Below are 16,234 nucleotides of genomic sequence, written 5' to 3'. Positions count from 1 at the left end.
CCGCTCAGCCAGACCCGCAGCCAGCAGCCCGGCCCTCTCATCATCGCCCTAACACCCACAGCCAGACCCGCACCCCTACACACTTCACTCTTATAACCAGGGACCTTTCTTACAAGCCACATCCATTTGGAGCCCCTCGGGAGTCAAATCCCCCCAAAAGCTTTTTTCACAGCAGAGGAACTTAATACTCCCAGTGGACACTAGGGTGCCTGACCTCCCTAATTTCCCCATCTCTTCAAATGGGAGAGGTGATTTCCCAGTCTCTCTTGTCAATCAGTGCCTTCCAAATGTAGGAGTCCCAGCTGCCCACCATCTAGTATCATACCCCTTGCTAGTCCAAGCATCCTCTTTACCCCCAAGGAACAGGTTCTGATTTTTTTTTTTTTTTTTTTTTTTTTTTTTTTTTGAGACAGGGTCTCGCTCTGTCGCCCAGGCTGGAGTGTGTGGCACGATCTCGGCTCACTGCAACCTCTGCCTCCTGGGTTCCAGCGATTCTCGTGCCTCAGCCTCCCAAGTAGCTGGGATTACAGGCATGCACCACCACACCCAGCTAATTTTTGTATTTTTAGTAGAGATGGGGTTTCACCATGTTTCCCAGGCTGGTCTTCAATTCCTGGACTCAAACGATCTGCCCCCCTCGGCCTCCCAAAGTGCTGGGATTATAGGCGTGAGCCACCGCGTCCAGCCCAGGTTCAGATTCTTAATTTCTTTATGGTAGTATCTTCCCACATAAGCTGGAGATTGGTCTTACTCATCTCAGAAGTATTTCTAGAAATTTGGTGTTCTAAAATAATATAGATAAATATGAAAAAAATAAGAAAGTTATAAATCTCCTCACAAGTGTTGGAGGGGAATACAATTGTGAAAATAATTATATGAGAGCTTCGAAAATGCAAAATCTGCCTCCCATGGACACCACACTAATCCCCAGAAAAATGACGACTCAGAACACTCTGCCACTCTGTTCCTTTTCCTCTTTTCCTCCCTTCTCGGCAAACAACTTGCTTATACCAAATTTCCTAGGATTAAGTATGAAGGAAATATTATATTTCAAAGTGGAGGAGGAAAAGTTGAAAAGGCAATTGACATGGCCGCCAATTAAAACATTCTCTCCATTAATCTTTGTATGCTCAATTGATGTTCAACATACATATTCAGATGCTAAGCATACATATTCAGATATTAACTATTGTGTGTGTGTGACTGAGTGCAAGTCCATGCATAAAGAGCTAAAAATAACTCCCTATAACATACCCCCTCCATTCATTCTGCACATTGCCGCCAATGAGCTTTCTAAAATGTGTATCTGTCCAAACTTGCCCCTGCCTAAAACCCTTTGTCAGCTTTCCACTGCCATCTGGGTTAAGACCAAGTCCTTGCACAGGCCATTTCAGGGCCCTTCCTTATCTGATCTCTGTCTTCCTCTGCAGTCCCTTCTTCCACCACTGCCTGCCTCCTGTTTCCCAATAATACCAAACTGCTCATAGATCTCCGCTTAAACCATGTTTGTTCGTATTTCTGTGCTAGTAATTCCCATCCCTACATTCTTCCCCTTCAATCCTGCATTATTCGGCTTAAGAATCATCTCCTTCAGGAATCCTCCCCATATGCAGAAAGGGCCTGTGCATGCTCTCATAGCAGCCTGTGCTCCCATAGCACCCCATGCCTGCTCCTCAGTACCTTACCACTGGCCATGCTATACTGAAATGATCTGTGTATATGTCTATCTCCCGCTTGATTGTCTTATTCATCTTTGTACTCCAGCACCTACCATAATTCCTAGACCAGAATAAATTAGTGATCACAAAATGTTTTTTGAACTGATTATCTAAATTGGCAGTTTTATATAGCATTGTCATTTTTCCTTTGAGAGGGTTCTGTTTTCCTTGGTGCCTGTGTGATCTGATTTCATTCAGGCTAGTGGCACCAATGAGGTGACATGCTGGAGTCCTCAGACTGGTAGGTAGTCTGCATCTTGGAAGATAGTGTAAATTAGCAATTAAGAACATACTCTCTAGAGTCTTACAGACCTGGATCCCAATTCCAGCTTTACCATTTAACTAATTGCATGCCCTTTGGGTGTAACCTCTATAAACCTGTTTCTCCATAAAATGGTAATAATACATATATGTTAAAGCAAAGTTGTAAGGATTGAATGAAATAATGTATTTAATATGTTTAACACAATGAGTAATAGGTATCTTTCAAGAGGAGGTCTGGACAAGGCCCTTGGAATACTAGAGGACAGCTTTACCTTTAGGAGTTATAGCCTTTTTTCTGCTTTTGCTAAATATGGTTTTGGGAGTTTCGGCCATCTTTAGTAATTTACATTCGCACACTCATTCATTCCACAGATTTTGACTGAGTGTCAAACACTATGTGAGATACTATATGGAGCCTGATGCAGCCCTTCTGGACATTCACTGGAGGTAGGGCTATTGATCAGTCCACTCCAGTAACTGATTCTAGTGACAGCAATCAACAATAAAACAATGAAAAATCAAGCACTTACTTTGTACCAAGGGCTCCTCTTAAACACCTTAATCCTCCCAACTATTGTAACACATAGGTAATATTACTATCCCCATTTTACAGATGGAGAAACTAAGACTAATTTGCCCAGAGTTACATGGCTGGTAGGAGGAAAAGTAAAGGATTTGAGCCCAAGGCATCAGGCTCCAAAGTTCATACTCAGCCAATGTCCCCTTACTATAACCAATGTCCCCTCATATAACCAATGTCCTCATACTCAGCCAATGTCCCCTTACTATAACCACTTAGTCCCCTTACTATAACCACTATACTCTGCTGCCATACCTTGGGGACTATATCAGAATCTTAGTGGGGGTTGGTAGGTCAGGAGGAGAGGGAGGAGTCTGAAAAATATATATCCAATATACCCACTGATTTTATCAAATAAATGACAAAATAGTTGGCTGTTGGAGATCTGTAGAAGATAGAGTGAGAAAACAGGGTAGAGAGCATAGGATTCAACGGGCTGAGAAATACTCATGTCTTCCACCTATTCCACCATTTAAAGTTGTTGTGGCCACAGGAGCGAGAGCCCCTGTAACAGATCCCTGTACACAGGAGCCTATAAAACACTAGACTTGGTAAACTAGTCCTCTTCGAAGCTTTGAGTGGAAATCATATTTCTTCTAGATGTTTTCATTATCTTATACGACTAATTGGTCTCCTGGAGGCCATCCCTGTTCCCACAAGGCCAAGGCAGATGTTGCAGCTTCCCCCACAACGCAGCCTCTAGTTTAGCATTCAACAGAAAGGAAGTGCTCTCTCTATGAGGCAACTATCGAGTGTTGCATATTGAATGTTGTCTCCTGTTTAAAGCAATGGCGAGAATAATAAAAGCTACCTTTGCCTCTTAAAAATATTTATAAATAAGACCTTATTATCTTTTGCTTACATTCCTCATTTTACAGGAGAGGAAACTGAGGCATGTGGCCACAAAGTGATTTTTCCAAGACATGCCAATCACAGTGTAGCACAAGCAACCAAAGGGCAGTGAGACTCTGGTTTTATTTTTCTAGTTCCAGTTTAACGACTAGCTCTGAATAGCCTTGGGCCTGCCCCCACTCAAAACAGAACTAAAGTGGAGTTGTCACAAATAAGTCATCTGGAGAAATAATAGAAAAAGAGGGTGTTTCTCTTCCCTGTATTCTCAGGAGGAAAGGAGTAGGGGAGCACACAGCACTACAGAGACCCCTGCTGGCGTTCAGCCTGCCTGCCTTCGGGAGCATCTGCCAGTTCCATTTTATCAGCGAGAGTCACTGTCCTTCAGAGATGACCCCCTTGCAGCACCACTATTCCCCAAACACACCTGCAAGGGGATTAAAACTCCACCTCCTTGAATTCCCACAAGTCTATCACACTATACCACCAGTTAAATAAATGCTGCAGGGGCCGGGCGCAGTGGCTCACGCCTATATTCCCAGCATTTTGGGACGCCGAGGTGGGTGGATCACCTGAGGTCAGGAGTTCGAGACCAGCCTGGCCAACATGGTGAAAACCCATCTCTACAAAAAATACAAAAATTACCCTGTTGTGGTGGCAGGCGCCTGTAATCCCAGCGACTCAGGAGGCTGAGGCAGGAGAATCGCTTGAACCCGGGAGGCAGAGGTTGCAGTGAGCTGAGATCACGCCACTGCACTCTAGCCTGGGCGACAAAGCAAGTCTCCCTCTCAGAATAAACAAATAAAAAATAAATGCCAGGCCGGGTGTGATGGCTCACACCTGTAATCCCAGCACTTTGGGAGGCCAAGGTGGGCAGATCACCTGAGGTCAGGAGTTCAAGACCAGCCTGGCCAACATGGAGAAACCCCGTCTCTACTAAAAATAAAAAATTAGCCGGCATGATGGCAGGTGCCTGTAATCCCAGCTACTCGGGAGGCTGAGGCGGGAGAATCGCTTGAACCTGGGAAGTGGAGGTTGCAGTGAGCCGAGATCGCACCATTGCACTCCAGCCTGGGCAACACAGTAAGACCCTGTCTCAAAAATAAATAAATAAATAAATAAATAAATGCCACAGAAAGATAGATGTGGACATTGTGCCAAAGAAAACAGTATCTGCCAAACTTTTGGTGCTGCTTTCCCAATATTTTCTTTTCAAAAGCCCATGACTCTTGATGGGGGAAGATGGTGAATTTTCCCAGAGGAGTGTGATCTTGCAATGGAAACCCTTTGCAGCCGGTTAGGACATGGCACTGGCCATGCTTTCAGACTGCTCTCTTGGGAGCTTTTGGTATTATGTATTGAAGCCATGTGTATACTTTGATTATAACTTCAGAAATCACCCCTAATACCACAATCTAGTGGCAAATGTTTCCAAAAGAAACTATTAATTACAAAATGGTTTTGGGGTTTTTGTTTGTTTGTTTTTGTTTTTTGAGATGGAGTGTTGCTCTGTCGCCCAGTGGCGTAGTCTCCACTCACTGCAACCTTCACCTCCTGGGTTCAAGCAATCCTCCTGCTTCAGCCTCCCAAGTAGCTGAGACTATAGGTGTGCACCACCACACCCAGCTAATTTTTGTATTTTTTGTAGAGATGAGGTTTCACCATGTTGGCCAGGCTGGTCTCGAACTCCTGACCTCAGGTGATCCGCCCATCTTGGCCTCCCAAAGTTCTGGGATTACAGGCATGAGCCACTGTGCCTCGCCAAAATGTTTTTGAAATACAGATGTGTATAGAACTTTTTTATCTAGGGGTGGTTCTTCTAGATTGAAATCTCCATCAAAAATTAAGGAAAGGAAAAAAGTCATCTTCCATCCTTTATGGGTGGTGTCTAATGTCCCTCAGTAGAGGAAACAGAACTCAAAGGGAAGCCAGCTAAGTATTTGATGTGTGTTATGCTTTATCCCCACAATAGGCCTGTAAGATAGGTGCTATTATGATCCCTATTTTACGAAGGAAACTGAGGTTAAACAAGTTGCTTGAAGTTTATATAGCCAGTAAGTAGAGCCAGGTTTCAACCCATAGAGTCTTGATTCTCACCGATTTCTCTAGCCAACTGCATTTTTCCTTATTTGGTCTCCTCTTGGGATCTCCCCAGCTGCCTTTGTCCTCAGAAGCTTTCTTCATAGTGGTCCCATCATTATTCGCTTCTTTTTACATGGAAATCATGCATCTATATATATAAAAAGTAAAACAGAAACAAATGCTGACATTTTCCTTTTAATTCACATTTCAAGTTTTCTAATTTGAGCAGTTCCATCTGTCCTCTAGAAAGGGAAATCTTACATTAATAAAAAAAAAAGAAAAGAAAAGAAAACTCAGATTGTATACAAAGAAACTCTTTTCTCTGCCTGTTCTTGGAATTATTCTTCCTCATGGAGGCTAGCGTCTTTAAAAGCCTACTACTGAATGATATGTATTCTTGTAGCATTAGAGAGCGGGGCTTCTTGGGCCTTTCAAGATGAACCACAGGATAGCTAATCCTCCTCAGTTTACTCTCTTCTTAGGCCAGTCTCTGTAAGACATAGCCTTTCTTGAGCTTTTTTGAAATATGTTGTTTATCCATCATCCTTTTAAAGGTTTCAAATAGAAGGCAGTGTGCTCACATTAGACATTAAATGCCAACGTGAAAAGTAAAGTTTCATAGATAAGATCATTGGAATTGGTATGTTTAAAGCCTCCTTGAAAATAATGTTCTTGCTTCATGAACTGGTGTTTTCTTTTTGTATGCTTCATGTAGATGAATGGACAGAGGTGGACAGAAAACGAGGTATGCTATCTCCGGGCTGCATGTGTTCAGTGTGCATCCACAGGTTCACTCAGGCCTTTATCAGCAGGGCTTAAAATGGGACCGCTTGAAACATTTCAAAGTCAAAGTAAGAAAATAGGCATGAGTTTGTCTTTAGCTGAGATATTGGTTATACATTTGAATCTTTTACTTAAGAGGAAGAAATACAGCATGTTAAGATGAAAACTAAGCAAACTCTGACCAAAAAGCCACACTGTACTTGAGGGATATGTCTCCTTTTCTCAGTTCCAAGCTTTGCTGGGACAGCTGGGGCAATAGCCATACTTTGGGGTATGTCATCCTATTTGGTAGTCCTTAAAACAACTTTGTTTTGTCATGTAACCAAAGAATTGTGCTTCAACATGAGTGACCCTCCCTGAGCCATTCTCCTAAGCTCACAGAGCAACCGAGAAAAATTGAAGCATGTAACTGCATGGCTGCCAGGACTGTGGGCAGAAGGCATGACATCATGCATGCAGTGTGGCCTCATCATGCAAAAGCTTCAGTTTCCCCTTACCTACTGCAAGCAGGAAACCTGAAAAAGTTGTCGACTCCTCAGAATAAAGCCTTAGACTTTCTCAGCCTTTAAATAAATCTCAGATACCTTCTGTCATTTGACATTTGGGTGTGGTGTGTGCCTATCATCAGCCATCCTCCTCAATATTTTAAATGCTCTCACCACACCAAGTATGCTGGGAAGACAACCTGTATAATATTTAAGAGGCCAGGTGCAGTGGCTCACACCTGTAATCCCAGCACTTTGGGAATCTGAGGCAGGAGGATCACTTGAGGTCAGGAGTTCGAGGCCAGCCTGGCCAACATGGTGAAACCCTGTCTCTACTAAAAATACAAAAATTACCTGGGCATGGTGGTGGGCACTTATAATCCCAGCTACTTGGGAGACTGAGGCAGGAGAATCACTTGAACCTGGGAGGCAGAGGTTGCAGTGAGCCGAGATCTTGCCACTGCACTCCAGCCTGGGCGACAGAGCGAGACTCCACTTCAAAAATAATAATAATAATAATAATATTTAAAAGCACAGGCATTAAATCAAACAGACCTAATTCTAATTTCAGCTCCATCACCAGCTGTGTGACCTTGGACTTTAAACTCTCTGATTCAGTTTTCCTCCTTAATAGAATGAGGATAATATAAAACGATAAGTGGTCTGGCAGGAAAAAAAAATGAGGATAATAATTCAGAGTTGTCTTGGAGTTTAAATGAGATAATGCATATAAAGTTCTAAGCCCAGTGCCTGGGACATAGAAAGGATTGAAACATGGTAACTATTCAGGAGGGTTTCCTAGCCTCTCTCTAAATTCTTGGCTCCAAATTTCATATTCCCATAAACAAGTCAATTTAGAGCAGAGGTAATTGGTAAAAACTTGATTGCTTTCATCAAGATAATTATTTCATCAGACCAGTCTCGAAAAAAAGCCCAATTGAAGTACTTGGTACACTTTATTACATTTCACAACCATCGTTTGACACTTCTTGAGCAATTTTTGACCCGTCCCTCCCTTGATGCATAGCAGAATTTCAGGTATGAAGTGTGGATTTTGAGAGCTTTTCATATACATAATTGAATCATTGAAATTTATTTTAACATAAATGTTCAAAAATAATGAACAGAAACTGGCTTCATAATCTGAACCCAGGACTAGAAGCTTGCTATGTTGAGAACCCAATTACCAACTTTCTGAGGCTCCTGTGAAAAATCCCTTCCCTCCCCTGCCTTAGCCTCCTTTTTTTTTTTTTTGAGACGGAGTTTCGCTCTTGTTGCCCAGGCTGGAGTGCAATGGAGCGATCCCAGCTCACTACAACCTCCGCTCCCAGGTTCAAGCAATTCTCCTGCCTCAGCCTCCTGAGTAGCTGAGATTACAGGCATGAGCCACCACGCCTGGCTAATTTTGTATTTTTAGTAGAGATGGGGTTTCTCCATGTTGGTCAGGCTGGTCTTGAACTCCCGACCTCAGGTGATCCACCCACCTCGGCCTCCCAAACTGCTGGGATTACAGGCGTGAGCCACTGCGCCCGGCCCCCCTTAGCCTCTTCCTATTGAAATCCGGCTCCTAGTATATTCCGGCCTCGTGAAAAGTATGCAGAACTCATTTGCATGCCAAAAACCAACACTTAGACTAATGGGCGGGTCTGATTAAAACTATTTCTTCAGGGATGTTAGGATGAAGGGAAAAAAATAAAAAACAAATTACTTTTTTTTTTTTTTTTTTTTTTGAGCTGGAGTCTCGCTCTGTTACCCAGGCTGGAGTTCAGTGGCGCGATCTCGGTTCACCGCAAGCTCCGCCTCCCGGGTTCACGCCATTCTCCTGCCTCAGCCTCCCGGTAGCTGGGACTGCAGGCGCCCGCCATCACGCCCGGCTAATTTTTTGTATTTTTTTTTAGTGGAGACGGGGTTTCACAGCGTTAGCCAGGATGGTCTCGATCTCCTGACTTCGTGATCCGCCCGCCTCGGCCTCCCAAAGTGCTGGGATTACAGGCGTGAGCCACCGCGCCCGTACGCTAATTAAATTTTTTAAAAAAACTATTTCTCAGGTTTAACCTAAAGATGATGTGCTGCTTCTCTAGGGCCAGGATAACATCTCCTTCCTCTTTGTGCCTGTGGTGTTTATTTCACTGTCTGGTACCTAATAGGTCTGCCTCAACCAAGGGCTGGGTGAAGCAAATTGTAAGACAAAAACATGTTAACGTGTGCCTCCATCTTATTTCCAAAGAGTGAAACGAGAAGAGGGAGCCCTAGGTGTCGTGGCCCAACCATTAAACTGCCATTTCCTCTTTGGGGGCATTTGTACTCACTGCTCTGCCCACAAGGACAGACCCCGCCGTCCTCTTCCCAGCAGGTGAACTGTCTGGATGCTGGCGCCAGGAGCCATGGTGCTCCAGAGCTTCTTCACTTCCCACGGGGAAAGACTTCATTTTGCTTTTCACTTTGCCCGAGTAGCTAACAATCACCTTGGGGTATTCTTTCGTCCAGAACTGATTTATCTGGGTGTAAGCTATTTCCCTAGCTCCTAATAAGGGCTCAAAGACCCCAGAGAAATGACTCAGCACCTAGGTGAATAGCAGCCCTTTGTAAGCATTAACCTAACCAGAGTTGATGTGATGCTTCAACTTGAATTCTTCTTTGGCACTCCTCCTCCCTGGCTTACGTAAGTCTGTGGAAAATTCTTCATATTCTCTCTTTTGAGGACTTATGTGTGGCTTTTCAATTGTGCCTGTTTCCTTGCAAATGCTACATTTTATGTAGGCTATGGTAAGAAAAAGGTTAGAAAACCCAGTTTATTGCAGGTTCTTTCTTGTTTCAGTGCAATGGAGGTGGTCAGGCATGAGGCAAACCTGACAGAGTTCTATGTCTCTCCAAGCTGTCCACGGTGGGGAAATGTTAGGGCACATCAAGGGCAAGCTGGGATGGTTTGAAATTGTCAGATGTCAGGGACATCCTGTGTTGGTAATGGATTTGGTTCTCCCTCACTGAGTAATAGGATCAAGTCTAGTGTAAAATCTAAAGGTCAAGTGTGAGTTTAGCATTTCTGTATGGAGCCACAGTCAGTTCATTTGTGTCACCGGGGGTGTGTGTGTTGGGGATGTATCCCCTCTCCCCTCTCTCTGTAGCTCTTCCATTTAAGATTTAAGTACAACCAGCCCTCAGCTCCCCCTTCCCCCATAAAATGTGTTGAAATGCTTTAAAATGCGGGCCTGAGCCCTCCGGGTACTTCTGTCAATTACTTACAGGTTGAGAGTGCCTAAAATAATCACTTCACTGCTCTACCTTGCCTCTGCTCTAAAGAGACATGGCCACAGGCAGTCATCTGGAGTGTCCTTTGTGTTCAGCAAAAGAAGAAGGAATTTCTATATTTCAATAATAACCACTCATGTTTAATAAGTGATTTTGTATAATTATTTTAAGTAACCCAGTTTTCTTTCAAATTTGAATTTCTGTAAGTGTATATTCTCAGTATCCACATATGCTCACATTTAGGCGAGGATAACTGGTTTAATTAAGGATAATCTATGTTCAACCATACCTCTTCCTATTTCTCATACCTGAGGGTTTTCTTGGCCCTTAACTAGTGATATTTCATTTCAGTAGTGCAAAATATCTAGATGAATGAAGACCTAAAACTATAGACACTTTAGTTTGTACACTTCTTTCTCACCAGAGGGAAATTTTCCATTTGAACAGCAGTGTGAGATATAGCACTACACTGTAGTATCAAGATTATAGATCAAATGTGGAAATTAAGGCATTCAAAAATGGTGCTATTCAAAGTACATGTCTTATAGCAACATTACAAGTGTTTTAATCTCTAACCAGTGGGTAGACTTGTCTATTTTCAGGAGGTATTATTAAGAGTCAATTACCATTGTTGGTCCCATTTTTATAATATTTAATTTTAAGTAAAAATGTTTAGATTTGGTTTTAAAAATTATAGGAATTTTTATTTTTATTTTATTTTATTTTTTTAGACAGGATCTCCTTCTGTTGCCTAGGCTGGAGTACAGTAGCACAATCAGAGCTCACTGCAGCATTGAATTCCTGGGCTCAAGTGATCCTCCTGCCTCAGCTTCCAGGCCCGCCACCACACCCAGCTAATTGCTTTCAATTTTTGGTAGAGACAGGGTCTAACTATGTTGCCCAGGCTGGTCTCAAACTCCTGGCATCAAGTGATCCTCCAGCCTTGGCCTCCCAAAGCGCTGGGATTATAGGCGTGAGCCACCACACCCAGCCAGTAATCTTTTTTAAAGAAAGAAGAAATATTCCTCTTATCATCAAGTGAGATAATATTTATATAAGGAGTTTATAATCTCTGAAGCACAACACATTAGTGCCTTGTCTTCATTTATGTCTTCCCTGAAATGGTGTCATAAAGCACTCTCAGAGCCCTGCTTTCTACCGGGACACCTGTGTGGTCCCCTCAGGGAGCTGATCTCACCAAGCATACAGCATCCCAATTCTGTACTGTACACGCTCAGCTCCTGTACCTGCACACAAAGAGCATTTCGGGATAGGCTTGCTTCAGTACTTTGCTCAGCTGTGTTCTCTCTTGTCTCTGCAGTTCTGAATGACATCATCTCCACCATGTTCAATAGAAAGTTTATGGAGGAATTATTCAAGCCTCAAGAGCTCTACTCCAAGAAGGCCCTGAGGACTGTCTATGAGCGCCTGGCTCATGCCTCCATTATGAAACTGAACCAGGCCAGCATGGATAAGGTGAGCAGACAGCTGCCTTTGTCATCTTGGTTGCATTTTTTGTACCTTTTGTGGATGATCATAGACTGGGGTCACATGAGATGATGTATGCAATGGTCCTTGCAAGAAACAGGCATGTGTAAATACTAGTAGTTGTTGAGTTTCAGAGTGGGAAAGACCTCAGAAATCATCCACAACAACCCCTCTGTTGTTTATGACATTCCACCTGCCCAAAGAGAGTGCTGGGTTTTATTTGTTTGATTTGTTTTGGGTGTTTTTTTGTTTTTGAAATGGGGTCTCACTCTGTTGTCCAGGCTGGAGTGCAGTGGTACAATCATAGCTCACTGCGGCCTTGATCTCCCAGGCTTGAGCAATTCTCCTGCCTCAGACTCCCAAGTAGCTGGGACTACAGGCACATGCCATCACACTGGCTAATTTTTTTTTTTTTTTTTTTTTTTTGAGATGGAGTTTCGCTCTTGTTGCCCAGGCTGGAGTGCAATGGCGTGATCTCGGCTCACCACAACGTCCGCCTCCCGGGTTCAAGCGATTCTCCTGCCTCAGCCTCTCAAGTAGCTGGGATTACAGGCATGCGCCACCATGCCAGGCTAATTTTGTATTTTTAGTAAAGACAGGTTTTCTCCATGTTGGTCAGGCTGGTTGCAAACTCCCAACCTCAGGTGATCCACCCGCCTTGGCCTCCCAAAGTGCTGGGATTACTGGCATGAGCCACCGCGCCTGGCCACACTGGCTAATTTTTAAATTTTTGTAGAAATGGGGTCTCACTTTGTTGCCGAGGCTGGTCTGGAACTCCTGGGCTCAAGTGATCTTCCTGCCTCAGTCTCCCAAAGTGCTAGGATTACAGGTGTGGGCCACTGCACCCAGACAAGAGTGCTGGCTTTCATGCCCATATTTATGAACCCCAGGAATACATGCCTTAACACAATAAAAGCACTCAACCCTGAGTGGGCATGGTGGCTCACACCTGTAATCCTAGCACTGGGAGGCCGAGACAGGCGGATCACTTGATGTCAGGAGTTCGAGACCAGTCTGGCCAACATGGTAAAACCTCATCTCTTCTAAAATTACAAATATTAGCTGGGTGTGGTGGCATGCACCTGTAATCCCAGCTACTCAGGAGGCTGAGGCAGGAGAATCACTTGAACCCAGGAGGCGGAGGTTGCAGTGAGATGAGATCACACCACTACACCCCAGCCTGGGCGACAGAGTAGGACTTCATCTCAAAAATAAATAAGTAAAATAAATAAACAATTTTTAAAAAGCACTCAACCCCAAAACTTTAATTCTGCCTCATTCTTCACAAATCTCAGCTCTGCAATGTAGAAACCAGATATTTTTTAGAGCAAGTTCAAAAACAGTCTTTACTCATAATGTGAACATATCTATTTCTTTGGGAAACAAAGTATTGGGATGCTGTGATTTTTTAAATAATAATTCCTTCAAGAATATATCTACCTCTGAATAATAATGATAATAATAATAATAATAATTCCACATAAATAAATGGCAGAGGACAGACAAGTCTGTTTAGAAGAATTCCAAATGATTTATGTAGATACTCTGCCCTCAGGGAGGGAGAGTGTAACTCCCCCTCCTTAGGTGGGGGCTGCACTTTAAAGAGTACAGTATGGAAAGGAGGGAAGAAATAATTAGCTTTACAGTAGAGAAACTTGATAAACTACCCCAACCGGATGGTCAAGGTAACATCAACAGTGATGAGTCAGGTTGCCAGTATGTACCCTGACATGATGTGATGAAAATGGAACTTCACCTCTGTGGTCTTCCTCCCCAAAACTCCAAACCCCAGGCTAACCATAAGAAAAACATCACACAAATACTGTTGGTTGGTCATGCTTACAAAATACCTGACCAGTACTCAAAACTATCAAGGTCACCAAAGTCAAGGAGAGTCAGAGAAACTGTCCAGCCAAGAGGAGCCCAAGGACACAGGACAGCAGAATAGAATGTGGTGTCCTGGATGGGATTTCAGAACAGAAATAGGATGTCAGGGGGAAACTAATGAAATCTTTAAAGTTTGGTCTTTAGTTAATGTAAAATATAATAATAATTCCTTTACAACTTCTCCCACCATGTGAAAGAGGACTACCAGGCACAGTGTCTTGCAGCTCTAATATCAGTGCTTTGGGATTGAGGCCAGGAGTTCAACACCAGCTTGGGCAACACAGCAAGACCAAATCTCTACAAAAAAATTTTAAAAGACCAGGTGTAATGGCGTATGCCTGTAATCCCAGCACTTAGGGAGGCCAAGGCAGGAGGATCGCTTGAGCCCAGGAGTTCAAGACCAGCCTTGGCAACATAGCAAGACCCTGTCTCTAAAAAAATAGAGAGGGCCGGGCGCGGTGGCTCACGCCTGTAATCCCAGCACTTTGGGAGGCTGAGGCGGGTGGATCATGAGGTCAAGAGATCGAGACCATCCTGGCTAACATGGTGAAATCTCGTCTCTACTAAAAATACAAAAAAAAAAAAATTAGCCCGGTGTGGTGGTGGGCGCCTGTAGTCCCAGCTACTCGGGAGGCTGAGGCAGGAGAATGGCGTGAACCTGGGAGGCGGAGCTTGCAGTGAGCTGAGATCACGCCACTGCACTCCAGCCTGGGGGACAGAGCAAGACTCCATCTCAAAAAAAAAAAAAAAAATAGAGAGAGAGAGAAAGAAAAATTTTAAAAATCATGATGACTGATGGTGGGAGTTAGACTTGCAGAGTCAGCACTCACTTATTACTGGTACTTAGAAGACTCAGGGAGACAGACTGCCTTTAACTGGGCCCTCTTACCTCTTGCCACTTACCTTTGGAAAGTTACTTTAACTCGGCCAGGCGCGGTGGCTCATGCCTGTAATCCCAGGACTTTGGGAGGCCGAGGCAGGCGGATCACGAGGTCAAGAGATCGAGACCATCCTGGCCAACATGGTGAAACCCCGTCTCTACTAAAAATACAAAAAATTAGCTGGGCATGGTGGCAAGTGCCTGTAATCCCAGCTACTTGGGAGGCTGAGGCAGGAGAATTGCTTGAACCCGGGAGGCAGAGGTTGCAGTGAGCCAAGATCGCGCCATTGCACTCCAGCCTGGGCAAAAAGAGCAAAACTCTGTCTCAAAACAAAAAAAAAAAAGTTACTTTAACTCTCTGAGCCTTCATTTTCTCATCTGTAAAATGAGGATAATAAATGCTACTTCATCAATTATTAGGATAATTAAGTGAGAAACATACCTAGGCCTGGCATATAGCTGTTCAATAAATATTAATTATATTTTCAGTTCTGCTTGCTCTTCTCTCTCTGCCTTTAAAAAAGTTTAGAGACTGAGCACAGTAGCTCACACCTGTAATCCCAGCACTTTGAGAGGCCCAGGTGGAAGAATCACTTGAGCCTGGGAGTTCAACACCAGCCTGGGCAACATAGCAAAAACCCGTCTCTAATATTTTTTAACATATTAAAAAAAAAACCATAGTGAGACCTCATCTCTACTAAAAATTAGAAGAACTAGCTGGTCACACAGTGGCACACAACTGTAGTCCCAGCTACTCAGGAGGCTGAGACAGGAGGATAGCTTGAGCAGGGGAGGTTGAGGCTTCAGTGAGCTGTGTTCACGCCACTGTACTCCAGCCTGGGTAACAGAGTGAGACCCCCATGTCAAAAAAAAAAAAAAAAAAAAGAAAAAGAAAAGAAAAGAAAAGGAAGTTTAAATTTCCATAGAGGAAGGACACAGAACTTAGAATTAAAAAAGCTGAGTTTAAGCCTTAGCTCTACCAGTTACTAGCTGTGAGACCCAATTTACTGAATTACTCTGAACTGGCATTCCTTCATCTTATACCTGTTTTTATTCTTTATTTCTAGCATGGTTTCCTATATACGAGCACTTAATGTTTGACAATGATGGCAGAGTCTCAAATCTGTATCTCCAGTATTGTACTTTCCCAATCCCCATGCACACACACCAGGCTATTCCTGTTTTCTGGGGCTTGTTTTAATTTCTTTTTTTTTTTTTTTTTTTTTTGAGACAAAGTCTCACTCTGTCACCCAGGCTAGAGTGCAGTGGCACTAACTCGGCTCACTGCAACCTCTGCCTCCCAGGTTCAAGCAATTCTCCTGTCTCAGCCTCCTGAGTAGCTGAGATTACAGGCACGCACCACCACACCCGGCTAATTTTTGTATTTTTAGTAGAGATGGGGTTTCAACATGTTGGCCAGGCTGGTCTCGAACTCCTGACCTCAGGTGATCCACCCACCTCGGCCTCCCAAAGTGCTGGGATAACAGGCGTGAGCCACTGCATCTGGCTAGCTATTCTGGTTGTATGCCACCTTCTAAGTGGAAATGTTTGGCTGCAGGTAGGAGAAATGGGATTGTGTAGCAGGGTCCTGGCAAGTGCCTTAGAATCTGATAGTCTTGAGGTCAAATATCATTCTGCACTTACCAGCAATATGAAATTAGGCAAGTTTCCTCATTATTAAACTGGGCTAATACCTACCTCATAGAGTTCTTGTGAAGAATAAATGGGATCAAATGAGGTAATATATATACACGTGCTTGGCATGACACTCAGATGGTAGTTGTTTATCGTTTCAATCCTGCCCCAGACATGTCCTTAAGTTAACCGTCCATCTTCTCTCCTGGCTCTTCCGCTCCCACATCCCTCAGACGTCTTTTCCTCCATCAATAGCATCATCCCTCCCCACCCGCACTAGGCTGAAAAGGTGCAGTCCTTCTGGACAACCCTGATCATCATCCCCCAAATCTAG

The 16,234-nt window shown here is 43.7% G+C and overlaps 1 protein-coding gene and 1 long non-coding RNA gene across 11 annotated transcripts in view, besides 1 other annotated feature; one reads left to right on the top strand and one right to left on the bottom strand.

Annotated features, from left to right (window-relative positions):
• The window catches only part of OSCP1 (organic solute carrier partner 1), a 32,546-nt gene that overhangs the window by 210 nt on the left and 16,102 nt on the right, over positions 1-16,234 (top strand). For 4 of the 9 annotated variants that reach the window (XM_005270462.2, NM_001330493.2, XM_047445744.1 and 1 more), the window contains exons 2-3: positions 6,209-6,238; positions 11,332-11,486. In XM_005270462.2, the coding sequence (XP_005270519.1) occupies positions 6,209-6,238; positions 11,332-11,486 (185 nt within the window). Of the gene's footprint in view, positions 1-2,354; positions 2,430-6,208; positions 6,239-11,331; positions 11,487-16,234 lie in introns of all 9 variants that reach the window. The other 5 variants (NM_145047.5, XM_047445746.1, NM_206837.3 and 2 more) reach the window with 3 other exon arrangements.
• Positions 677-14,443, bottom strand: LOC107984940 (uncharacterized). Of its 2 annotated transcripts, XR_001737976.2 has the most exons (3): positions 14,289-14,377; positions 5,509-5,641; positions 677-784 (listed from the first exon to the last, which is right to left on the bottom strand). It is a non-coding gene; the product is annotated as an uncharacterized LOC107984940 (long non-coding RNA). The 2 variants fall into 2 exon arrangements; XR_007065813.1 differs by lacking the exon at positions 677-784 and having other exon boundaries at positions 5,435-5,641; positions 14,289-14,443.
• Positions 3,580-3,874: an enhancer, noted in NCBI's record as "tiled region #11440; K562 Activating DNase unmatched - State 8:EnhW". NCBI's record gives its function as "activates a minimal TATA promoter and a strong SV40 promoter by Sharpr-MPRA in K562 cells {active_cell/tissue: K562}" and the evidence as "EXISTENCE:reporter gene assay evidence [ECO:0000049][PMID:27701403]".

The sequence above is a fragment of the Homo sapiens genome, chromosome 1 (genome assembly GCF_000001405.40).
Source record: "Homo sapiens chromosome 1, GRCh38.p14 Primary Assembly".
NCBI lineage: Eukaryota > Metazoa > Chordata > Mammalia > Primates > Hominidae > Homo > Homo sapiens.
This window is presented reverse-complemented; position numbering and strand designations above follow the sequence as displayed.